Source organism: Homo sapiens, chromosome 6 (genome assembly GCF_000001405.40).
Source record: "Homo sapiens chromosome 6, GRCh38.p14 Primary Assembly".
Classification (NCBI taxonomy): domain Eukaryota; kingdom Metazoa; phylum Chordata; class Mammalia; order Primates; family Hominidae; genus Homo; species Homo sapiens.
This window is the reverse complement of record NC_000006.12, coordinates 149043894-149070505: the sequence shown is the minus strand read 5'-3', so window position 1 is coordinate 149070505 and position 26612 is coordinate 149043894. Positions and strand designations below refer to the sequence as shown.

Below are 26612 nucleotides of genomic sequence, written 5' to 3'. Positions count from 1 at the left end.
AGCCTAGATCCTTGTAAATAGATAACATGGTCTTCATTGAAATTAAAAACATAACACACATTGAACACTCTAGAATTTCTGTTAAATAACTTGGCATAGACTCTTCTGAAATGGGTTCCTAACAGAACATTTTATAATATCTGTCTTCTCTGAAGATATGAACTCTAGCTAATCTGGGGCGGGTCATTGTTCACAGGTCTTAGGTGTTCCTTTTTGTTTTTTAAAACAGAGCTAAAAAATCTTATGAAAGACAGACAAGAAATAAAGAGTTTTAAGTCAAACATTGAGAGGCAGAGGAAAAATAATTCTCTCATTGAAAGCCTCCTTCAATCCCTTCCTCTTAGAGCACTATACATTGTGTAGGGTTTTGTTATCTGATACACAAAAAAGTAAGACTCCTGTGATTTAAAATAAATTCATTACTTAAATTATTTGGCCCAACCTGGCAAAGGATCCAAGGGGATAAGCAAAAGGGAGCCTAGATCCTTGTAAAGAAGTAATTTGGAAATCTGTTCTATTTCACAGCCTCAAAGCTCTTTGTCGTAAGGTTGAAACAGTAATTTCCTAAAAACAATGGACAGCAAGTGTAATCATATAAATACCTTGACTACAAAACTATCTGAGAAATACCAATCACATTTTACTAGTCTTCAATCACTTGCAAAATGTTGGTCTATATAATGGATTGAGTTGATTTGCTATATAAATGGTTATTAATTTCAGGCCAGAAAAACTTTGGGAATATTCTTTAAAGTTACAGCATAATGGGTTTATACATTTCTTTCTTTGATTACGATTAGGTGACTGGGTCAACTGCCATAAGGTTACTCCTAGTTCATGACAATAAAACTCTCTTCCCTGAATGCCTTCCTCTATGGTTAGGATGGGGGAGTTGGTGGATGGGCAGAGCAGGTAAATAACTCTGTCAAAAGTGACATTATATCCTTCCGAATAGACATTTCTCAAAATAAGACATACAAATGGCCAAGAGGTATATGAAAAAACTCAACATGCTAATCATCAAGGAAATGCAAATCAAAACCACAATGAGCTATCATCTTACTCCAGTTAGAATAGCTATTATTAAAAGCCAATAAATAACAGATGCTGGTGAGGATGTGGAGAAAAGGGAACTCTTATACACTGTTGGTGGGAATGCCAATTAGAACAGCCACTATGGTAAACAGTATGGAGAGTTCTCAAAAAACTAAAAATAGAACTACCATGATCCAGCAACCCTTCTACTATGTATCTATCCAAAGGAAATGAAATCAACATATCAAAGGGATACCTGCACTTGCATGCTCACGTGTTTACTGTAGTAATATTCGCAGTGGTAAAGATATGGAATCAACCTGTGTCCATCAATGAATGAATGAAGAAAATGTGGTATTATACACAATGGAATACTATTTGGCCATAAAAAAGAAAGAAATCATGTCATTTGCATCAACATGGATGGAACTGGAGGTCATCATGTTAAATGAAATAATCTAGGCACAGAAAGACAAAGATCGTGTATTTTCACTCATATATGGGAGCTAAAGAAGTTGACCACAAGGAGGGAGTAGGATGATACATACCAGAGGCTGGGAAGGATGTCTGGGTTGGAGAGCGGGCTGAAGAGAGGTTGGTTAATGGGTACAAATGTACAGTTATATAGAAGATGTAAGTTCTCATGCTCCATAGCAGAGTAGGGTGACTATAGTTAGCAACAATGTATTGTATGTTTCAAAGTAGCTAGAAAAAAAAATTCAAATGTTCCTAACACATAGAAATGATAAATACTCAAGGTGATGGATACCCTAAACACCCTGATTTGATCATTGCACATTCTATGCATGGAAAAAAATATCATACATATCCCATAAATATGTAAAATATTATACATCAATAAAATGTGATATTGTGTCCTTCAAGTACAAGTGAAAAGAACCAGGACATATTTGCACGATTAGTTAACTGATATGGTGCGAGATGGTGACAGTCCTGGCTGAGCCTAATGCTTTGTGGTATATTTTTATAGTAACAGCTACAGTTAATGGGAACTAATGTGTAGCAAGCACTGAGCTAAGCACTTGTACACACAATCATACTTAATCCTCACAATAACCCCTTGATGGAAGAGCCATTTTATACATGAGGAAACTGAGGCCAAGGCTATAACTCATTCAAGGTCATGCAGCCAGAAAGTGGCAGAGGTAGGAGGCTCCTCATGACAATCAGCTGCTGTGCTTTTGCTGTGTTGTTTCTTGGTGTGGACAGGTGAGAGGGCTATTACTGCTTCTCACACCTTTCTTCACAGTGTGGTAGAGCATAATGGTCAATGTCCAGGCCTAGAGCCTACTACTCCTCCTGCTGACTGAGGCACCCAAACTTAACAACCGATCTCACAGGAAACTGGCAGGTGTTTTGGAGGGAATGGCTAATGGCTTTATAGTTTGGGAGGAGAAAAGGGCCGATTAAAAAAAAATTGGGCACGATCATCTCTGGGTCCAATACTCAGAGTCAGTGATGAAAACCACCCCAACAACCACTATTTGCAGAGTTCCACCTGAGAGGTAAAACTGCGTCCTGGTGGTTTATTTAGATTAAACTTGTAATTTTGTGTTTCCAGTAGGAAACATTCTATCCCAGGCAGAAATTGACCTAGTATTTACCATGTTCGGAAAACGACAGACTTCTGGTGATAACCAGCATCTAAAATCCCAGTGCACTCCATCGACTCTATGACTGGAAAGTACTGGCTCTTATGATTTCACTCAGAGCCCCCTACATTGACATATCTTATCCAACTTTTATACAGTAATGAGAGGTCTTTAATAAGATTGATATTTGATAAGATCCCAGGTAGCCTTTCCAACCAAATTTTAATTGCATGTCACCTTACCAGCCTGACAAAAGTGCTTTGGCTATTTGATAGTGCTAGTCAGAACATGAGGAGGCCCAGCCCTATGTTTGCTAGAACACTCCACAGAGAGGACAGACTTTTAAGACAAGAGGGAAGGGGGACTTTTTCATGTTTGGCTACAAGGCAAGAGCTTTAAAAGATCCTTTCTTGAATAGTTAAGGATCCAGGGAGGGTGACCGCCAAATATGGCAACTTGGTATGGCGATATTTCAAATTGAAGGCCATTGGAGACCAGTACATCCTGGATGAAGCTGTTCTCTGAAGTTCCCTTATCTACCTAGAAATTGGACCTGCCAAAGAGGAACAAAATTGCCTTCAGTCACCTCCCCTAAAATTTCATTAATCAGAGAAGATCAAAACTCATGTCACAGAGGAAGGGACTGAAGATTAAACACCACACTCAGAGCTCAGATGAACGTTGTCCCAAACTATTGCCTGTTCTTGGGTCCCATTCAGTTCCCAAAGAGAATTATTTACCTTCCATTGTCTGAGCATTGGGCCCATTCATTCCCCTTAAATATCATTTACTACTCTTCAAAATTGCCACATTTAACCTCCATTTCCCCTTTCCCTATGAAGAAAGGTATAGAAAAAAGCTGGACCTCCCTGGGTTATGAGGTAACCACTCTCCTGTGATTTTCTCCTGTGTAGCATTTTATTTTTAAGAGGTAGGGTCTTGCTCTGTTGCCCAGGCTAGAGTGCAGTGGTGGCTCACTGCAGCCTCAAACTCCTGGGCTCAAGCGATCCTCCCCTCAACCTCCTGAGTATTTGGGACTACAGGAGTGAGCTACCATGCTCAGTTTCATGCATATTAATAAATTTTATTCCTTTTTTTCCTGTTAATCTGCCTATTGTAAGTTCATTTTCAAGTAAGCTTCAGAGGGTGGAGGAGAAGCTTTTCCTGTTACCCCTCCAATAACAACAGATTGTCTCGTGTATTTCAGTTACTTCAGTCTTCCTTACTCTTCTTAATCCCTCCCTAAATCCCCCGTCTAAACATGAGGGTCAGTATCAGCTGGTTTGGCAGATTCTTATGGGATCTAATGTTTCCCCAAGCTCTAGTTTTGCATTAATATCCAATTCTTGCTTCATTTGTCTACCCACCCTGCCTCCTTGGAGTTTCCTTCTCTCCCTCATCCACCCCCTCTTCTTCATTGTCAACCTCTCCCTCTCAACTGGCTCCTTGCCATCAAAACTCACTTCCCTTCTTGAAAAAACCCTTGTCTCATGCACCCTCCCTCTTTCATCTTTTCTCTCTCCTCCCCATCACAGCCCAACTTCCTGAAGAGCTGTCTACATTTGTTGTAACATTTTCAGCTTACGTACGTGACTGAACTCACCAAAACCTGCTTTCTGTTCCTTCTGTACTCCATTCAGTTACTCTCGCTTCCTTGTTGGTAGCTCAGAGGGCGCCTCACAGCATGACCCCATCACACTGTGGGCCACACACTCCATTTTGAAACCCCTGCATCTGCAACAGTGTTTTCCTGGCACCCTCACCTCTCTCTGATCACTCCCTTTCCATCTTCTCTACGCCCTCCTCTTTCCCAGCCTGTCTTATAAAGACCAGTCCTCCTCAGGCTCTGTTCCAGCCTCTTCCCTTCTCCCTGGTTACTCCCTGGGTGGCAGCATCCAACCCTCTATCCTTTAGTCCTCATAGCACTGTGAACAACAAAATGAACAGTTTATATAAACAATGACAGCTTTTTTGACCTTCGTTTTCCACAGAGCTGCCAAATTTAATAAGGTTAATGACATTGCCAGAGGGTTATGTCGCGGTCAGAAACAGGAGTGCTATTTTGTGCCAGGAGAAACAGAGACTCAGATTCAACCAATATTGATGGGGAACACCCATTATGAGTTTGGATCATCATATACATTATTTTATTTGATATTCTCAATAACCCTGTGAGGTGAATATCATGACCCCTCTTTTGCAGATGGAGAAATAGAAACTTACCCAAGGTCACATAGCTGGCTGGTAAGTGAAAAAACGAATTTGAATCTGGGTCCCCATCTATGTTGAGATTTTTCCCTAACTTTAAGTACTGCACCATAACCAGGGCAGCTTTCATGAGCCTGTAGAAAACTATCACCTTCATATGGAAAGACCAGAGGTGGTTTGTCTTGTATAATAAGCAGAGAATTCTTAAAAATCTCATTTCAAAGACATATGGATGTGTGTCTTGCTGTACGATAATCGGTGCTATGGAAAAGTCATTCCATTGCTAAGTTTTCCACATTTTTGTAAAATGCCAGACTTTCCATCCAAACAAAACAAAGCTACATGGACTATGGAATCAGCCTCTCTCCAGACTGCCATAATAGCAGCTCTAGAGGAAGTTGTTAGGATTTTTTTTCAAATAATTGTTGTTATTTCAGCCACAAAACAATTATGCTTTAAAAATCTATACTTATTAGTAGCATTCCTTGGGAAGGGAAGAAGCCCTCGTTAGGTGAGCACATACTGTCGGATTAACCATGAAGAAGTGAAGACCTCACTCCATGAGCGTTCTCTGATCCTAGCAGGAACTGAGAGTAACTTCAAGGGGCTCATGTCTCTTGTGCCCACTGATAAACATTTTAAAAGAAAGAGACGAATACAGAGCTCCTCCCTTTAAGACAGGGTGGCAAAAAGGCAGCCCAAGATCGGACTGGCAGGCAATGTGTTGTTTGGCCCGTGGGGTATTTTTTTTTTTTTAGAAATGGATTCAGTTGTTGTAAGGCTTGGTCTATTTCACATGGAAAGCTGGATTTCTGGCTTTTCTCAAAGGGCGGCTACATTCTTCTGGAGCCAAGTGTGACTGCCCCCGTGAAAGAGGCCAGGGCTTTCCAGTTTGCCTCAGACTCTAAATGCCGGTTCATTCTTTTATGTTACCTGACTGGCTGTTATAGAAAGTCGAGTTTTATGCTTCTGCTTTAAAGATTCTAAAATTCAGGCTTTCATAAACCTAGAGAGTAAGTGCTTCTCGTCAAAATCAAGGCTTCAATTAGGCCTCACTGGTGTGCCCAATATCATCTTCCTTCCCTCTTTCTGCAAAGATTTGTTGAATAGCTATTCTGCACCACGCACAGGAATTGTTGCAGTGAATGGGGCATCATCATCATCACCATCATCATCATCATCAGTTGGCACTTTGAGAGCTTTCTCTGTGCCAAGAATTGTAAGATATCTAAACACACATTTAATCCTTATAAAGCTCCCAGTGCTGTAGAGGTCTCTTATTATCACCATTTAAAGCTGTGGCATTGGAATTTAGAAGTTTGTGCAGGCTCACACAGCTGGTAAGTGGTGAAGCCCGAAGTTGGGTGTGGGGAAGTCTGACTAATGAGCCCAGGTTCTTAACTCTCCACATTGCTGACGAGTGGATGGAGCTCACAGTCTAAGGGAGATGCCTGCTCACAAGGCTTGTCACCATGGGGGCAGAGAGGGCATCTCACTCTGATTCATTTGCTGGAGTCAACATTTCTTCTGTTTGGTCAGAAATCCTCACCAGGGAGACCAGGCTTATTGGGCTTATCTTAAATACTCTGCATGGAGTTGGGTCTTTCATACTTACTACAAGATCATGAAGATTTGCCGTATGTGCTGTGTGTGCACGTCTGAGAGTATAGATTCTGTGTGTGTTTCAATCAAGAGATGGAAAACTTTTAGGAGGCCTCTGAGGCACTATCCACCTCCTAAAAAATTTTCTCTAGATTTTATTCTTAACATCTCCACCAGGTTTCATTTAGCTGTTCTTCCAAAGAGGCTTTTTATACTGAGTGATCAGGACAAAAGCGATACCCCATTTATCTTTGTATTTCCACAGCTCAGCACCTGGGGAAACACAGTTCTCCTCTGTACAGGCTTCTTGAGGGAACAAAAGAAACCATCAGAAGGACGAGGGTGCTGTCAGATTCAAGGAAGGCTTGGCTGTGTCTGTGAGATGGAGACAGACAGCTGGGCACAAAGGCAGTATCTGAAGGAGTTTCACAGAAATTCCTAGGAGACCCACAAATGCTGGGTCCTTAGCGAGAAGCAGTCTACCCTCCCATCTGGCTGGGGTCTGTACATTTCAGTGTTTAACTTTGTGGTTTGGTTGCCTTTTGGGACCAATAGTGCTGGCAAGGCACATTTTTCTGCCTCTCTACTTTAATTCATCAATACTTTTTGGCAAAAAGAAGCTGTGGCTTCAGGATGTTTTTGATATTTTTTTAAAAAGTTTTTTCTTATTACCTTTAGGGATTGGTCAAATAATTCCCTTAGTTAATTTTATGATAACTATTGAAAATTTCCTCAAAATAGGCACTGGTTTTGAGCTATGAAGTGTTCAGAAGAGGGAAAACAAAGTAAAAAAACAAACTTTGAGCTTTCTATTTAAAGAACACAATAGAGATTGTTTTTTCTTTATAGACATGTCCAATCAGCCATAGAGTCAGGGCCACAGGGGGATAGACTTCCAGGCTCTGCGCTGTCCCTGGGGAGGGAGTGGCAGGGACACTACAGAGTAGTTACGGTCCTGAGTGGAGATTCTTCTAACAGCTGGCCCCCAGTGACATAAAAATCTGTAGTTGGCCACCCAATGTTGGTAGAGAATAAAACCTGGCATGAGGCCAGGAGGGGGCTGCTTTCTGTATTATTAAAACTTTACAAATAGTAGCCCGAACAGTGCAACTTCTCATACAAGTCCTGCAGAGAAGCACATCCCTCTCATTTTCATAGGGCTCTGTGGATTAATGCGCTTTCACATCGCCCCTCACTACCTTGCTCAATCTTCCCAGTACCCATTTTACTTACAGATACCAAGGGCCCCAGAGGTCACAAGACCAGCTCAAGGCTGTACAGCCAGGACATTTCAGTCCAAGCACTGGAAAGTGGGCTTTCTGATTCTCAGCCTTGCACCTTTTTGCTACACCACAGGCTGTTAATTTCCAAATTGAGTGGAAATCTATAACCACCCACTTCTCCTTGCCCTGTGTGTATTCTGGCATTCAGGGAATCCATTGAAAAGAAGGGCTTGAGTGTTCTAAGATGAGGGGAATGCTTTGGTAAGTCTGGGAGGATCTGGTGAAAAACTTGCAAGCCAGCAAAAATGTTTTCACACTGAAAGGGACTGTGTCTTTTTCATTTTTAGTTCCCCAGTGTCCAGCTCCATGCCTGGCACCTAACCACCCTCCATAAATGTTTGTTGATTTGAAACCTGTATTTTAAATCCATCTGCAAGACTGGATTAACCCAAAGGGCAACTTTCAGTGTTGACTATGCATACTTCACTTTTTAGCTAAATTCCTTCCTTAGTTGAGGGTCCTTCCTGAGCAAACTTTCCATTTCTGGAAATTGAATTTCTGGATAGTAGGCTGACAGAGAAGGTTTGGATCACAGGTTGTTCTGGAGAGGTAGTGGTATTTGCTTTTCTTAGCCACTCTGTTGAAGAACATTATGTTATGGTGACAGAACGCTTGCAAATACTTAGCCAAGCTTAAGACATGCCATGATAAGGAAGGTTCACCACAAACACAAATAGCTATGTAGAAGCCACCGTCTTGCAGCTAATGAATTTGTGCTGGGTGTGATATTTACCCCAGCCATTAACTGAAGATTCAAACACTGTTGGGTAAAAAGACATTTATTTGTGTGACCTGACTTTGCTGTATGAATGCTGGTCAGTTACTTAATTTGCCATCACTTTTGGTACTTTTTAGTGATGTTTCTCCATTAGCAAAATGAAAGTGTTTTATTTAGAAGGAAAACAGTCATTCAATCACATCCATTTGACCTATGTGCCAAGGACTTTGCTGTGGATACAATGTGAACTGTGGCTCTTTGGTCAGTCTTGAACACTTCCTGGTGGAAGAACTTAGCCCGGGCTTTTGGGAGTATCCACAGAAAGCTGGTGGCTCAGGGAAAAGGCTGCAGGGAAAAAGTTCTACTGGGACCTTGGAAACACATCTCTGCCCGGCACCAGGCACACCCATCTGCATGAAATGCATATGTCAGTGGATTGCACACAGATTCTGGTTTGCCAACTCAGGGGCTCCTCCCAATGCCCTGCCAAACAAACACTAGCTTAACTTCTGGATGTGAATGATAAATATCACTCGCCAGTAACCTGTCTGCATGCAAGACTGGGCAGTGACAAGCACGATGTGCTCACTGCCCAAGATTTTGCTTTGATTTTGTTTTACTGCCCAAGATCTGAACATTTTTTGCAAACATAGCAGCTTCTCTACCTCTGCTGCATTGACATATGTTTGAACTGGTTCATAATCTTCAGTACTCCTAAAAGTCCCTTTAATGTAAATAGAAAGGAAATCACAGACCTGTTCCTGGGAGTCCCACTTCCCACCTCTCTTCATCTGTCAAACATGCATAATGGAAAAACGATGTAGCCCTGGCTCTGGGCCAGAATAAACAATCTGGAAATACTGTATAAACCCAGCTGCTGCACCGGAGGACAGAGGCCTCGCTTTATGACCTCCGAGATGGTTAACCATACGCAAAATAACAAAAGCTCACCACCAACTTGCAGTGTATTTTGATGCTGGGCTGGCTCTGGCATTCCTTTCCTTGATCCGAGTGTATGCACACTCCGCGCTGACCAGAGCCCTCTTCCCTTAACAATCTGCACTTGTTTTAACCTGGTCCAGCAGAGATTATGTGCACCAAACAAATACTAGTTTAATAACAACCAAAAGAGGGGCCAAAGTTTACCAGCGAAAAAAAATAAGCATGGACAAAAGACAGGCACCAGTTCTACAGCTTCAGGGGAGCTGAGTGGTGATCAACTGAGAGGCCTTGCTGTTTTAAGAAGCGCCCTGTCTAAGAAACTGACTTACTCATCTCAGGTTAGATTACAGCCAGAGATTCCCAGCACACGGGGATAAAGCACACTTTCTCAGGCAACAGGTGTGCCGAAAGTCACGGTCAAGTGGAGCACTCGGCAGTGGGAGAGGAAGTACCGTCGGTGTACTCCCCAGGGTTGGCAAACGCCTGCCACCTCCATTCCCATACAGCCCTGCACCACGCTGGCCGCTCCCAAAACTGTGTGAACATGATGCTTGTCACAGATAGAGTAAACTCATTTCCTGAATTATAGGGGAGGCCATACAGTTCAAAGAGATGAAATACAGCTGCAGGGCCGCCGGACTCCCTAGGGCTGCCTCCAGCGGAAATGAATGTGTGTCACTGCGGCTCACAGCGATATGTGCTGGGCTGGCCGGGCCAGCGCTACATTTGCCACTCAGATATGATCGATGGCATGTTAAGACCACCTTCCTGGTGGTATGGCCATGAAGGGAGAAAAGAACAAAAAGCACTTCATGGCTGCCTTGGTGCTGAGGGTTGATAAAGTAAACAGAAAACTTTTGGGGTGTGTTTTGCAGTCTTTTATTCAGATCTGGAAATATAAATAATTAAAAATAATTTGAGATCACTTGGACCTTCAAGAGAATCTTTGATCTATGTAGCCAAGTAAAAGTTCATGATTTACTTTCTTGTTGTTTAAAAATGCAGAAACCGCTAGGTTCCTTTGATGAAAGAGAATGAAGGGTTTCTAATGCACACACTTTGCTTGGATTTTTGGAAGCAGGGAACACAGTAAAAGGAACCAGGAAGAGAAAGTATTGGTCTGTGTGGGGTAGGTCGCTGAGGGCCCACCAAGACCAGGGCACTGGGCCCCTGTGGAATGGAAATCAGCCCGGAGGAGGAATGCATTTTCAGAAACATCACGGAGGCGGGTCCTAACCCCATGGAATTGGAGATGAGGGCAGCTGTTGGACGGGCTTCTAGGTTATTGCCTGGGGCTTCTAGGTTATTGCCTGGGGGATTCAACTCCACACTACTTATGCTCAGAATCTGCTGAAATTGCTAGCGGGGGTGGGCGGTGGTGGTAGTTAGTTATTTTCTTGCCTGGATTCTTTTTGCTTAGTCATCAATGCTGTACTGAGCACCGACTAAGCTCAATGCTTGATTCCAGGAAATAAGAGAAATAAAATAAAATAAAAGCTAAAAACACAGGCTCTTTCTTCTAGAAGGAGTACACAATAAAGGGAGAAGCAAATGTGCAATCCTTCCAACAACTTCCTGGGCAATCTGGAGATCTCTGTTTCACTGCGGATGGGAAGGATGCTCCTCACAGTGGGGCACCACAGGAGGGAGAGAAAGGGGGATCACAAGGAGGTGGCATTGATGGCCGCAGATGTCCACCTTTCGTGTCCTTCTGCAGAGCCAGGTGAACACCCTGCCGGACAAACTTAATGTGCAACAAATCACCGGAAGGGCCCGACACTTGTAGAGGTTTCGGTTCATGAGTTGCTGATCAGCATCCCAGCTTCTGTTGATGTGGGAGCCTCCCAACCTCACCCTCAGATCCTAATGCCTAGACTTGAACATGACAGGGCTGGAGGAGATGGCCAAGCTCAACTCCTCCTGGCCCAGACACACACGCTGAGGGTAATGAGTCCTGGGGTGGCTTCAGTTCCCTCCACAACCACCCCCCTAAGTCAGCAGCTCTGGCTTCCTGGCTTTCCCTGCTGCCTGTATTTACCGAATGAAGGGCAAGTTGCTATGTTTCTTTTCTCCCCAAGTTCGGCATCATGGCCCAGACCATTAAAAAGCTGACATATTTGTTTGAAAGTATGTGCTACGGTAAATACATATTTGTTTGAAAGTATGTGCTACGGTAAAATTTGTTTGAAAGTATGTGCTACGTGTGTGTTTTCCTCAGCACAGTTTTTACCACTAAAATACCGGCTTATATATGAGGATGGCAATAAAAGAAGGATTTATTTTCACAACAACAATTGAAGCAGATATTTCTGTTTAAAAATATCTACTTCTAAAAAAAACTTATTGGGAGAATTACTATGTCTTTATCAACAAAATGTATCTCTTTCTTAAAATATACTTTTAATTTGATATAAGTATTGAGAAATGTGTTTTTATTACGTTTGTTACTTTATTTGAAATCGTATTATGAAGGCCAGACCCAGTGACTGATAAGGATATCCTGATCAAACTGGTTTTTCATCTGGATAAAGAAGATCAAGAGAAATACTATTGCAGCAGTTCTAAATTCTTTTGGTATCTGACAATTTCATAAGCTCTGCTTTTGCTTTATGGACAGGATTCTTTTTCTCTACTCCTCATAGTCTGTGTGGCATTTGCAGGCCTAGGGTACTTCTCTCTCTCCCTCTCTTACACACAGACACACGCGCGCGCACATACACACACACACACACACACACACACACACACACACACACACATGCTCCTCCTTTGGCAGGGAGGAGGCCCTCTCCTGAAATCACACTTCATTACCTACATCTAGCCCTGATGATGTTAAAGCCAGTTGCTGACACCGTCACTCTGGGCACTCCACAGATGGTGATATGACCACAGGACAGTTCTTTGTCTCATTTTTTCATGTTGGTCTATTACTTTTTCTTCTCTGGGGTTTCGTACAGATCAAGCTACTATCTAGATCCACACAGGATCATCAGAAAGCCCTTGGGAAGTTTATAAGCTTTGAGCTTTAAACCTTATTTCTTGGAGAAAAATAATTTAAAACATAAACATTTATTTTTCTGATTGTGATGTACCCATATAAACATACTATGTACATGTATACATGATGTGCAGATATATGTATATACTTACCTATATGTACATATACACATATGCAAATACATAGTAAAGTTTTTAGGAAACTTAGGAAAACAAGAATATAAAATAACTTTTAATCAAGCCACAGTTATTACTGTAGTAGTACATTTCCTTCTAGTCTTTTTCTTATTTATGCCTATTCATTGTAAAACACATCTGTGCTATATTGTTTATTTAGTTTTATCATCTTTAAAATTTAACTAACCATGACCATTTCTCCTATATCTTTAATTATTACCAATTACATTTTGCAATGTGTTTTTATATGCTCCATTTTATAGATGCCTTAAAGGTCATATAACCATCTGCTACTGTTAGATGATTGGGTTTTCTGTTTCTATGACTCAATAATATCAGATGCACATCCTTGTTCATAAGCGATCATGTGCCTTTTTGCTTGTTTCCCTAAGGTCAATGGCAGCTTCAGATATTGAGCAGTAACTTTTCTTCTTATAGCTGATAAGGTCTTCAATTCTGCCAACTCTAAGATACCACTTATCTTCTATTGTCAGAGATCCTGAAACTTTAAGACATTTATTTTATTGTTACATGAAATCAATCTATCACCTACCTTGCTAAAGTTTCAAAATGCACAGGGCCTTTTGAAAATCCTGCATCTCCTGACTCTGAGAATGTAAAGGAGTACAGCAGTGCCCTTAATATGGGAGTATGGTTGCTCGTAAAACATTTAGTGCACTTGAAATTCTTAGCAAATTACACCACATGATGACTACAATCACGGAGACGAAATCTTTTCTCATTTTTGGATTCTATGAACTGGGTACTCAGATAGGGCTATCACAGAACTTTGTATTTTTATAGTTAATTCAAAATGCATTTTCTTTAACAGAATGTATCCTATTGCATTTTTTGTTTTAAGATTATATTAGTCACAATCATCAGCCTCAGTGAGTGAACCAATGGTGAGTCTCAAGAGCCAACAACCTGGATGTTCTCTCTGGAATGTTAAACATGGGGAAATTTTGATAAACCCTTGAAGGGCTGTGAATGAAGCAGCTGTTCATGGAGGCCGAACATGTAGATAAGTGAGATATTTAACCTTCTGTCCAGGCATTAAGAAGTTAGGTTAATAGGAGGTGCTACTCAAAATAACCATTCCCAAGTCAGGAAAGTGTGAAATGAAGTTCCAAGGATGCTGTCAATTCTACTGGGAGAGTTTGCAATGTTACTTTAAAATTAAATGTACTTTATCTGGGCAACCTGTAGCCCACTGGTAGTACTCAGTCTTAGGGGAATGCAAATTAACAGCCCTACCTCTTCCTTCTCTCCCTGTTAAAAATCAGATTTGCAACTGCACACTAAATAAGACAGTGTGAATATCTAAAAACATCCAAATTGCTTTAACCAGGCAAAACTCTAAGAAAAAATGAGATGAAACTGCAACCTTCCCATTTGTATAGGAGGCCCATTTGTTTTGCTTAAGGAAAGTTTGAAATTGATAAGCTAATGTCAGTAGACACCAGGACCATGTGAGGGAAAAATCCCTGGGTATCATGGCTATGACTTTGAAAAGCAGGGGTAGGCCGGGTGCGGTGGCTTAGGCCTGTAATCCCAGCACTTTGAGAGGCCAAGGTGGTGGATCACTTGAGGTCAGGAATTTGAGACCAGCTTGGCCAACATGGCAAAACCTCGTGTCCACTAAAAATGCAAAAATTAGCTGGGCATGGTGGTGCATGCCTGTAATCCCAGCCACTCAGGAGGCTGAGAGTCGCTTGAACCCGGGAGGCAGAGGTTGCAGTGAGCTAACGCCACCGCACTGCAGCGACATAGCGAGACCCCATTTCAAAAAAAAAAAAAAAAAAAAAAAAAAGAAAAGAAAAGAAAAGCAGAGTAACAGAGTTAAATGTTTGATATGGATACTGATATACTATAAAAATGTTATAGACATATTAAAACTTGCAAATGCAGCCTGGGAAAAAAATTAAAACATTTTAATTTTTCTGACATGAGAGAAGAAACAGAGAAGAGCACTGACATGCATTAGGTTTTAGGTCAACAACAGGCTATAAATGAAGGTAGTTGCGATGACTTCTTGAGCTGAACTTTCATGGCCAATGGCTGTGAGAAACTGCAGAAGCTTCTGATGTCAGATGGAAGAGAAGGGACTGATTGTCAGGTTAGACTTTTGATGCAGCACAAGCATGAAATTGTGGTGCAATGCACTGACCATTAACCACCAGCCTTCCCCTTTGATAAGACATGGGTGGGAGTGATAAAGGGGAAATGAAAAAGAAACAATCAGCCAATGCTAGAAAGGCCATTATGTGAATTAGAAGCAGGTAAGAAAGAGGTGCTAGTGTTACTAAGAAACGTGCTCAAAGGTATCATTAGGTTCCGTTAGGATTGGTTCACTTTGGAAACTGCATTAGAGACAGGTGGGGGAGGGGACAGGAGAAACGGGTAACTTGAATGACATTCAAAGCATTCTTAAAAAGTGTGTTCAATGAATGGAAAATCAAAGATGTTTGAAAGAGAAAAGTCAACAAATGGAAAAGCTGTAACCCATTCCATTTTAGTTTAGTTTTATTGGGGCATGAAATGAAATTTCATAATGTTCTAAAAACAACAACTTAACTGCATAAAACTGAATAAGTGAACCGGCATTAAATCCATACTGTATTTTTTAAAATCTCATTTTGATATAATAATAGTAACTGGTTAGTTAGGTCATAGTCCTCTTCCTCAAGTCACGCACAGTTAAAGAAATATTTCTAAAAATTTCTAATTGCTCCTACATTCTAGCAAAACCATACATCGACTTGCTGGTTGATTTATGACTTTCTAGTAACCTTTACTCTCAAATGGCTTCTACCAAATGATTTATTTACTTGGTCTATGCTGAGGTAACCTCCTGGCTGGGCTGACTGCCGTCCTTTCAGCTCGAAGTGTAAAGGATTGAGTCCCCTCACTAAGACATTTCTTGAGTTTCTGTGAGAGCTGTGGGTTCTCATGCGATAAACCATGAGTCTTAGGTTCAATTTTGAAATGTCTCTCTTTCAGATTGCTTGAGCCGGGGAGGTCTAGGCTGCAGTGAGCTGTGACTGCACCACTGTACTCCAGTCTGGGCAACAGAGTGAGACCTTGTCCAAAACAAACAATAAACAAACACCCAGAACAAATAAAAAATGTCTCTCCTTCCTCGTCATTTCTCTTTGGAGAAAAAAGAAAATCTTTGACAATTTCTGACCCACTGAACAATGTAAAGTGGCAAAGTTTCACACTTTTGCCAAAGGCTTCTAATTTCAAGCCTTTTTCTGGTCCACGGTGGTGCTTCACCTCACTCTTGTCTTTCCTGCCCAGTTTCCTCTCTTAGATTACAAACTTAATCTACTAAATGCCTGCCCCCCGACAATAGCAGAGTTTTATAAGATCTGTATAAAGTCATTAGTTTTCCCATTAAGCATCGGTGTCCCCCAACTCCAGCCTGTAAGATGCACACAGTATCTGGAACCACAGAAGATTGCTAAGACAATGTTAGGTGTCTGACACCTTTTAGCTATAAGTGCAAGATGATGTGGTTGAACATCAAAGGCTGTGGAACATGCAACCAGGAATCAGCATATCCTCATTGAAAACTTTTACACCATTTCTACCAAAAAAGATTAAATTCTAATTGAATGCTACTTACTCATCACTTCTTGAGTTTTACATGTGACAATAAAATGAAGGCCTACTGGTTACTGGTTGGCTAGAAGGGAAAGCAAGTGAAAGCTCTTTGGCTCTTCTTTGGGTAGATTTAATTCTACCGCACCCCCCTCCCTTTCTGAACATTTACAAAACCCTCAAGTACTTTTCTTTCCCTCCTTCTCCATTTTTTTCCCACGAGGTCCAAAGTCCCAGGGAGGGAGCTGCTGGGCATGGGGGGATGGGGTGAGAATAGGGTAGGGAACCACAGCTGCTCTCAAATTGTGCTGGTGTCTTGGACAGGGGTGACAGATGGTGGCAGGAGAGCCATTATTCCCACCCTGCCAAGCTCATGACAGCCATTTCACAGAGGTCACGGCCAGGCTCCACCTGACAATACTTGTGCCAATGTTTCTAAGCTTCTGTGACCAACTGTCCAAAAAGGCACTAGATATGAGCCCCAATTCTTGTACTTTTTAGCTGAGAGAATGCTTTGAAGGCTTTTCAACCATCAGGCTTCTGTGCATTCCCTGAGGTATTTAGACCCGGTGCTTCGATAAATTAGTGGTTGCAACTGAGCACATAATTCCTTATATCCACTTAGAATGTTTATGAGATAATTAGTTCTCAATTTCATACAGCACCATCGGTTCACCTCCTGATCAGACAGATACATGAGTGGCTATTTTTTTGGAAGTATGGCAAACATAGTTGAAGTCAGTTGACATTAGGTTATACCTCATAGAGCATATAGTAAATAAGTCATATCCATAATTGTCATAGAAAAAACACACAACACATAAGTTTGGGTTTATAGCCACAAAGAGGAACATAGAAGACAGGGAAAAATATGACCCTGAACATGAGCATGGAATGTTTTCAAACTTATTGATATTCACAGTCTTTATTCATAGCATCTTGATGGGATTCATGAGTAACAAAGGGCTTTGTGGAAATATCTGAAGGCCAATAATTCTTTTTAACAGACTAACAAGACCAAATTACTATTAAATTGATTTCAGTAGTTGGTAACCGTACTTATTTCTGGTAGACTACATATTTCAATAAACAACTTTAAAAACAAATGTCACTGAATGTCAATTCACTATAAATTTAACAGTGAATATGTCATAAAATATTTTTATATCTAAACAACTAAAATAATAATAGGACCCTAAAAAGACTTTTAAAAAGTGTTCATTAATCAAGTTTTGTTCTATATGATAAATGATGTACTCTAAGAATTTCTAAAACTCCAATAGATACTTGCTGTAACTAAACTGGAAAGGGTTCCCATTTTTGCTTTGCTATTTTAGAAAAATAAGGAGTATTCCTTGGATTGTTTGCTTTCTTAAATTCCACTCTCCGATTCATTAAAACCCTTATGAAAACCAAAGTTGCTGACATGACTGAAACAAATGGCTTTACTGTTAACCAGATTGAGTCTTTGCAAGCACTTTATTAAAGCGATTTTAGTAATTCCAACTAGTAAAGTCTTCCCCCACCAACAAAAAAATAAAACAAAGTAACACATTTAGAATATCAATGAACATCACCTCAACAGAACCACTAAGCTTTCCAGAAACACTGTGTTCTTGAGAATTCAGCAGAATAACATTTCATAGAATCCTACTTTTCTAGCTACCCCATCTCCCTCAGATAATCATGTTTTAGATTTTGCCCTTTTCAGAGAGAGAGAGAGAGAGAGAGACCAGTTAAGAGCTTACGAGCACGGGGTTGCAAGTCACCTGGGCCTGGGTTGAATGTTCAATCACTTGAGTGCTGCTAGCGACCAGCTCAGTAACATAGAAGCGTTATGAATCATCTCTAAGTTGGTGGTTTCCTTATCTGTACAATGGACATAATAATAGTATCTTCCTCACAGGGTTGTTCTTAGGATTAAATGAAATAGTACATCTAAAGGACTTAACAAGATTCCTGAGACACAAGAAGCTCCCAATGAGTGTTAAATATAATAACAACAACTATTAATATTATGACTGTTATCCTCAAAATATATTCCCTTGAAACATCAGTATTCTGCCACTGAAATAGAAAAATGCTAATCTCCCCAAATGAAACAATTAATTTCAATTTAGTTGAAACTTAATGTGTTAATGATACTTTATGAAATTACAGACATCAAGACTTTGAGATGCTCTGCTCCTATAAAATTTTAAGGTCTGGTGGTTCAGTGAAAGTAAAGATTCATATCCCTTACAGTATACATGTGCATTTATAGATCAACTTTCCCCACCTATACATTCATTAGGTGCATAAAATTCCAAAGCACTTCTTGATCATGAATACCGTATAATCTATAATTATTTAATTCTGTAAAAATGTCAAAAATATATTTTGGATGTTTCACATATTTTCCCCTCCCTAATAGAGTTCCATTTGGGTAGTACTATCTCTTTTCTATTCATTTTTTATCTTCTACTATATCTTCTTGCCTGTATTAGGTAAATAATAAACATTCAAAAATCATTCATGACTGCAGCATCTGAAACACTTTAATAAAAAAGGAAGAAAAGTAAAGTTTTGTCAGACACCCCCCCATCGCCACTGCAATAGCTGGATGGTTTAGGGCAAAGAGAAAATGCAGTCAGATACAAAGTGGAGATACAAAGGGGAAACCATAGCCTGCTGAGATCAGGAACTGTGCCATTCAATCCTCTGCTCAATTTCCTGGGCTATGTAGTTTAGGCAAAACCAATTCAGGTTTGCTTTCTTACGGAATGACATGCTATTTAACTAAGTAATGAAATGCACAGAGGATCCACTTAAGATCTTGGGTCAAAAGACCCAATGATGCCCCTGAATTGGTGTTAGAAAAATCAGGACCATTTGCAGGCCCGTCACTTCTCTGTATTGGCCTTTCCACTTTTTCCAGAATGCTCGCCACCACTTGGCAGAGGCGCCCATGGGGTTCAGAGGGCCTGCCTGACTTTCTACATCATGTCTGGTCAGCTGCATCTTTCACAGGGATGACCAGTGTGTGGCTGTAAGCTGTTGTGGAATTCTCTCCTCTTGAGCACAGATGTTTCTCCATCGATATGGCTGTGAAATTGAGATCGCAATGACTATTAAATGAGACTTTTCTTGGCTGCTGAGTCCAAGCTCATGGAATCCATATTTCACCGTGGAGGCTTCTGGTCGATGCTGGTCTGTGGCCCTCACTCTTAGCATTATTCCTCAACTCCACCATCTTTCCCTGGGTTACCTGATCTGTGTCTCTAGACTGAAGCCACCTGATGTTCCCAGAGCTTGTATTGCTTGTGCCTTCTGCCCAACTGCCATCCCTGCCTAGATAACCACCTGCCCAGCAGTCTCCCTGGCTCTGGCCCCACAATTAGCCTTGGCATGTGGGCCTTTACAACACTTTCAACAAAGGAAAGAATTAGGAAGAGATGCTAAAATAGTCAGTCACACCATAGTCCAAATCAAATGGAAGAAAAGGCACACCAATTCACCTCCACATCCAGTATTCTAACATCTTCTGACTCTCAATGTTTTTGTACAATTCGTGATTTATTTTCTAAAAACTCAGAATCAATTTATATTTACCAGGGGCATGATGGTTTTGGCTAATATGTATCCAAAGAAAAGTCCAAAGTTTTATTTTTGTCATTTTATTTTGGAGGATAAAGTATAATGAGGAATATACTTTATTGAAAAATATCAAGCCTAAACTTCACTCCTCAATAATGCTGGTGTTTACCTCTCAGAAAGGATCCTCATCAGTCACTAGAAAAAGCAAATAGGCAAATGTCATTTTAACATTCCTTGTGGTATGTAATGGGAGGGAGGTTGACTAGAGTTGGTGTGTCCACACTTACCAAACATAAATCAATGGCTTCAAGATATCACAGCATGAAGACTTTATTAGGTGCCATCTGTAATCACTCAATGAAAAACAAATAAAGGATGCATATTTCAACCTCAGTTCTTGATATGAAAATAGCTGATGAGTCCCCATCCGATTTGCTAAACCATCATTATAATATTTAATCTTACTACTACAGTGACTTGTGAGGAGGAGGGTGTGTCAGCTACTGCAGAGTTAAGACAGACAATGTGTTTTCAGATTCAAGACAGTTATGCTGCAATGGAAAAGATCTATGAGCTACCTTCTTGTAATTCAATTATTTTAAATACCTGCATTCAGGCCTGGAAAGCCAAGTCCTGCCCTTAATGGTGTTTGTACCGTAGTTCATATGGTAGATAAAATGTCAAGATTATTAAAGAGTTAAGTACAGAATTATAGAACTTTAGTATTTCAGGGCTAGAAATCTACACACATTTTATAGCTTCTGTATACAAGAAAGGGCCACGTGTGTGTGTGTGTGTGTGTGTGTGTGTGTGTGTGAGAGAGAGAGAGAGAGAGAGAGACAAGGTGAGTTTTTAAAAAACTACTGGCTAGAATTTGCCAGGTGAACTGATGAAATCCAAAGGACAGTTGCCAAAAAGAGGTTAGATATCTTAGAGAGAGGGGCTGGTAAAGGGACAAAAAGTGGAACCCAGGATTTTGTGTGCACACAACTGTGCTGCCCCCTCGAGAATGATGTTCTTTACTTGCCCCATTTTCATCAGTGTTGCTGCGGGTGCAGGAAAAGAACACGGAAGAGAGAGGGATAAAAATTCTGTGTGCTCCCAGCAATTCCACAGTAAGCCAGTGGGCTCTCCTTCTGCTTCCATATAATTTTTATCTGAACATTCAATTATTTTCCTAAAATTCATGCTTTTCCCATAATTTAAAATGCTACATGCTTACTATCTAACAGTTGGGAAATGAAGAAAATAAATTACTAATAATCCCACCACCCAAAGATATGACTAACAACATCAACATTCTGAGCATTTCAATTTAATCATTTCCTGTGCTCACGTAGTTTTTCTAGTAAAACTGGTATCATATTGTAAATACGATTTACTATTCTTTTCTCCTTTACTTCATGTCACATCATATTTCAAGCAATCAGCTATGTCATTTAACTGTTTTTGGTATATCAAAATGTATTTAGCTATTCTTCTATTTTTACAGTTGTCTTTTTATTGTGCAATGGTAAACTATCCTGTGAGGAACATCCTTATAATAGTTTTTATGTACCTGTATGATTTTTTTTTCTAGCATTGAAATGGGTCAAAGATTGTAAACATTATTTCCTCACCAAGAAATCAAAGAATCACTTACATTTAATTAACACATCAATTTTAATATACAATTTGATGAGTTTTGACAGCTATATATACCTATGCCCCTACTACCACAATCAAGGTACAGGATTTTTCTATCAGTTCTGCAGCTATGGGCATTTTGAAGGCTTTTAAGATGTATCACTAACTTGCTCTTTACCCCAGGGGTTAACAATGTGCTCTCCCTCTAGGAGTCTCCTGAGGCGCCATTTCTCTTCATCCTCATCATCGGGGACTCCACGACTGCTCAGTGTTTGTTCACATAACAGACAATAATAATTTCATAGAAAATATGGTCTCATTTTAATATGCACTTCTTAGATTATGAATGTGGTTGGGCTTATTTCTTAGTGTATTTGTTGGTAACTTGTATTTCTCTTTCTCCATTGTTTTCTGTTAGTGATTTTCTTATGGATTTGTAAAAAATGCTTCATGTTTTGGTAAAATATAATCATATGATATCATTGTTGCAAATATTTTGCCAACTTAAGTATGTTTTAAACATGCTTAAAGTTTCAATTAAACATATTTATTCTTTACTGTGTCTCTCTCTCTCTTTTTTTTTTTTTTGGAGACAGTCTCACTCTATTGCCCAGGCTGGAATGCAGTGGCCCCATCTCGGCTCACTACAACCTCTGCCCCCCAGGTTCAAGCGATTCTCCTGCCTCAGCGTCCTGAGTAGCTGGGATTACAGGCATCCGCCACCACACCCAGCTGATTTTTGTATTTTTTAGTATAGATGGGGTTTTGGTCAGGCTGGTCTCGAACTCCTGACCTCAAGTGATCCACTTGCCTCGGCCTCCTAAAGTGCTAGGATTACATGCATGAGCCACCATGCCAGCCCTTTACTTTCTCCTTGTATAAATATGTGTTTTACTGCTTTTATGCTTAGTAAATCCTTAGCAAAACCCCATCCCCCCAAAAAACAGTCAACTATATTTTCCTCTATTCCTTTCATATTTTCATTAAAAAAAAAATGAACTCTTTAGACCATCTGGAATTTATTAAGGCCCATGATATAAGGAGACTATTTTTTCCCTAAACATTTAGCTAACTAATTTACACCTTTATTTATTCTTTCTTTTTAATGATCTTTACCAGAGAGCACATTACCTTTTGCATTAGCAACTGTTTCTGTTACTGTTTCACTGACTTGTCTATCTGAGCTTGTGCTTTTACACCATTATTTTAAACCCAAGAGCTTTCTAGTATTTTTGAATCTTGTTGGGCAAATCTCCTCTCATTACTTTAAAAAAAGATCACTGGCCATGTCACTTGTTTATTTTTTCCAGATGAGCTTGAGAATCACTTTAAGCTAAAAAAAAATACTTTAAATTATATGCTCATGTGAGGAAAATGGCATTTTTGTGATATTCCATATTTTCATGCATGAACATGGTCTGTCCTCTTGGTTTGCATTTCTTTGGTTGTTGTTGTTCCCAAAGTAAAGTTTGGTGCTCACATTTCAAGTAGAAATTCTGGGCTAGAATTTCTCACAAGGGCTTGAACTGTTAATGAAAAACTCTGACCTCATTTAAGTATCCCAAAATGGCCAAGGGGTGGGAGAACACATAAGATTAGATTTCAGAGAGCCAAAAGGACTTTTAAATTTTGAAATGCTCCATAAATGATTATGAAAATGTGTTTCCTTGACTCTGACTAATGAGCCTTAGTGTGGAAAATCCTACTTCTATTGGATTTCTAATGAAATCCTAAATCTATTTCATTAAAGACATAAAGACTATAATTGCAGCATCATTCTGTACACATTCCTTAATTTTTCCTAAAAACTCAATGTTATTTTGACATTAGCAACTACTAGCAAACTATGTCTAAGTATTAGGCATAATCTTTTTTCCCATTAGTTAGCTTACTCCATTTCACAGATATGTAGAAACAAAGTCTGGCTTCAATTTGCATCTGAAATGGGGTGTGTATATATTTTTACTCTTGGTCTGTATTAAAAATAAACTAGAAGAGCAAGTGGGAATGTGCCACAGGATGTGGTCACTCAACTTCATGTGACCTCGACATTTGCATTTGAAAACAACTCTAACTAGTGACTTCAAAGGTGATTTTCAAAATAATGCACAAGGAAAATCGTTCCTCTTTAACTCCAAACAGAGACACGGCCAAGAAGTCAAGTCCACTCAGATCAGTAGGCACTAGATGGGCAATTCTACTGCCACCAGAAAAGCTGAAGCCAGTAGAGTCCTCATGCCACACTTCACAAGGGATCACACCAGGGAATGCTGGAATCTGCATCATGAGAGACTTTGGAACAATTGTGTTGGTCTCTCCTTTCAAACTCAAAAACTTGACTAAGTTGAGCACTTGAAAACCCTGCCCTATTGCAGACGGAAACGGAAGAATCAAATGAGATGATTAGAAAAGTGCCTTGGAAACTGTACATCGGTGCACGGGCACATTATCTCCATTAATCCTCAAAACAGCTTTGTGAGGTCACCATTCTCTGCTTTCGGATGAAGAAACAGACATTCAGAGAGGTTAAGGAGATTGCCGACAGTTAAACAGCTGGTAAGAATTAGAGCTGGGATTCAAACCCATGTCTACTGACTGCAAAGACCATGATTGACCTATGTACTATACCATTTTCACATCTCAGGAAAGGAGAAGAAAACTTCACAGATAGAAGATGCCTTCTTGTTAAAGAGCAGCTTTTAGCTTCCTAGCAGATGATCCAGAACAAGCTGAAGTGAAACAGGAACCCAAAGATCAGCCAACTCCTTGGCCTGCTAACAGGCAGTGGTGGCCCTACCCCTGGCCAGTAGACTGGTTTTGGGACCAACTTATAACACTAATTGTGTGTGACCTGCATATTCCCAACAGAAAGAAGCCTCTGAGCTTGCTTTTGTTAAACTTCCAGGATAGGACTGAAGCCATTCTTGCTTACATTTTGTTCACCAAATAAGACTCTAGGCTCCATAAACAGGGATGCACGATATACTCCAGGCACAGGTATGTTCTAAGTGCATTAAAGCTGTGTATGGATTTGAAGGGAAAATCTCTTTCCAATTTTCTATTGAATACTTCTTGACTGTGGCCTCCAGAAAACAATAGTTGTTGACAGTCACATGCCTGGCATTCAGCAATCTGGCTTCTGTGATGGTTTCCCAGCTCTATGGTGAGCTGGGAAAATATCTAGAACATTTCTAAGCAGATATTCTGGGAGATGGCTTTTTTTAAGGTATAATTGAAAGGACTTCAAGCTTCCAGACTTGGGTGACTGGCAAAATTGTGGCACTGTGGAGTAATCTGCATCCCTTTAAATAAATAAAACACAAAATCCTACATAGATGATTAAAGAAAATGGAGAACTAGAAGGGGGTTGCCTTGCTCTTAAAACCCCACCTCTCCTTCTCAGAGATTTTTGCTGGCTTTAAGCTCAGTCTTTCAACTGCAGGAGAGAGATGTTCTGTATATGAGAGGGCAATAGTGAACTAGAATCATTTGGGGCTTCCTGGCACCTTCCAGTCACCTCCCTGTGGTGGACAAGAGAATTGTTACTAAGCCTGTGCCTAGAGATCCGCAGGGTACCCACACACACTTCCTGGTGAGCGCCATCCATGTCCTCTCTGTTCTTTGTGTGACTAGCAGGGTTGGGCACATCATCTGGGCTCAAAAATATGTTTGCCCTTACTTTTCATGACAAAAACCACAATTACTTTTGCACCAACCTAATACAATAAATTGAGTTTGTGGACCAAATAAATCCCTTTTCCTTATTTCTATGTAGCATTGCATCTTAAGTAAAAATGAAGTTTAGTATACCATGAAGGTGAACTCATGGAAAAATAAGGAACACAGGAGCAACTCTCAAAATAAAAACCCAGTTTCACAAAAAATGACAAATTTCAAATGCACGGGTTTCTGAGCCCCAAATAGCTAATGCTACTGCTTATAGCCAGAAAGCCTGTCCACACATCCACACTTTGAGTAAAGACCCTGCCCTGGGACTTAACTTCAGAATGCCTAAATCTCTCTGAATCTGAAAGTAGGACTAGATTATAAAAGCAGTGCTCTATTAGTTACACCCCTAATAAAAAAAATGGTACTTATCAACTTACAGAATTTGGCATACAGTTGAGACATTGATTGTTTCAGCAATGTGTGCTCACTATGTGCTCACTTTGTAAAGCAAAACAAAACACTAAGCCTTTGATGCTGGCATATTGGCCTTTTTCTCTTGGGTGGATTCCACTTTGCAAGTGTTTCCTGCCCCAGATTAATCTGATATCCAAAGCACGTGTTATTGGAAGAGCTTTTTGCTATTTGTGCCCAAAACATTAGACTACTGAGCACATTATTAAGCAAACTTGGATCCTTTTTAGGAGCTCTCCAGATGGGTTACTGCCTTTCAGCTGCGCCCAGCATTCTTGTCTCTGGTGGTATTAAGCTGGAGCCACAGGCATGCAGCAGACGCCATTTCCCCAATAAACCCCATGGCCGAATGAGGCAGAGCGGGCACCACTCACACTTCATATTAAGTTCAGCCTACGGATGCTGATATCTGAATAACATTCCCACCGACCGTCATCCCCCTCAAAAGCAAAATGTAGAAAGGCAGCGAACTACATTTGAGGTTGAAGCCAGCAGTACAGATCCAGTTGTTCAGACTGTCATTTGACATTGTGTTTCCTCACTGATACTAGGGAAAAAGAGAGTGAGGGGAAATGGGAGACTTTAACCACAATACCATAATGGAGGCCACAAATAAGCTACTGTATGTCAACAGAAGTCAGACACTGACAAGAGTTTTTTTTTGAAATGAAAAAACATTGACATTTTAAAAGAATATGCTAATATTGCTTGAGATTTAAGAACTGGTAGAAGTCTCAGGCTGAACAGAGGGAAATGTTTAGCAAAACCCTCATGAAATTGATTCAAGTTTTACTAGGAATTAAGTTACAGTTTTTGACTCTGAACCATTAAAACCAACTATTCAGCCAAAAATGTATTTGGGATTTAACATTTTCTTTTGGAAAAACATCTTAAAAGTGATGTACCCTAGTCACTTAAAGGCTGTGAAACTCTATTTTAACAATATGATGGGGCCCACTTTCAACCAAAGCAAAGCTAATAATAATATGGTCTAAGATCAAGACTAATAACACATGTGGTTTTGTATCTACTTATAGACACTCTGGGAGTTGTGTGGTCTTTTGTGATGGCCACTGGGACTGATTCTGA

At 40.2% G+C, this 26612-nt stretch overlaps 1 protein-coding gene across 1 annotated transcript in view, besides 3 other annotated features; it reads right to left on the bottom strand.

The window, feature by feature from the left end:
- The window catches only part of UST (uronyl 2-sulfotransferase), a 329961-nt gene that overhangs the window by 6485 nt on the left and 296864 nt on the right, over positions 1-26612 (bottom strand). The window lies entirely within an intron of this gene.
- Positions 4105-4514: an enhancer, noted in NCBI's record as "active region_25244". NCBI's record gives its function as "activates an Ori minimal core promoter by ATAC-STARR-seq in GM12878 lymphoblastoid cells {active_cell/tissue: GM12878}" and the evidence as "EXISTENCE:reporter gene assay evidence [ECO:0000049][PMID:35858748]".
- Positions 4535-4614: an enhancer, noted in NCBI's record as "active region_25243". NCBI's record gives its function as "activates an Ori minimal core promoter by ATAC-STARR-seq in GM12878 lymphoblastoid cells {active_cell/tissue: GM12878}" and the evidence as "EXISTENCE:reporter gene assay evidence [ECO:0000049][PMID:35858748]".
- Positions 15972-16091: an enhancer, noted in NCBI's record as "active region_25242". NCBI's record gives its function as "activates an Ori minimal core promoter by ATAC-STARR-seq in GM12878 lymphoblastoid cells {active_cell/tissue: GM12878}" and the evidence as "EXISTENCE:reporter gene assay evidence [ECO:0000049][PMID:35858748]".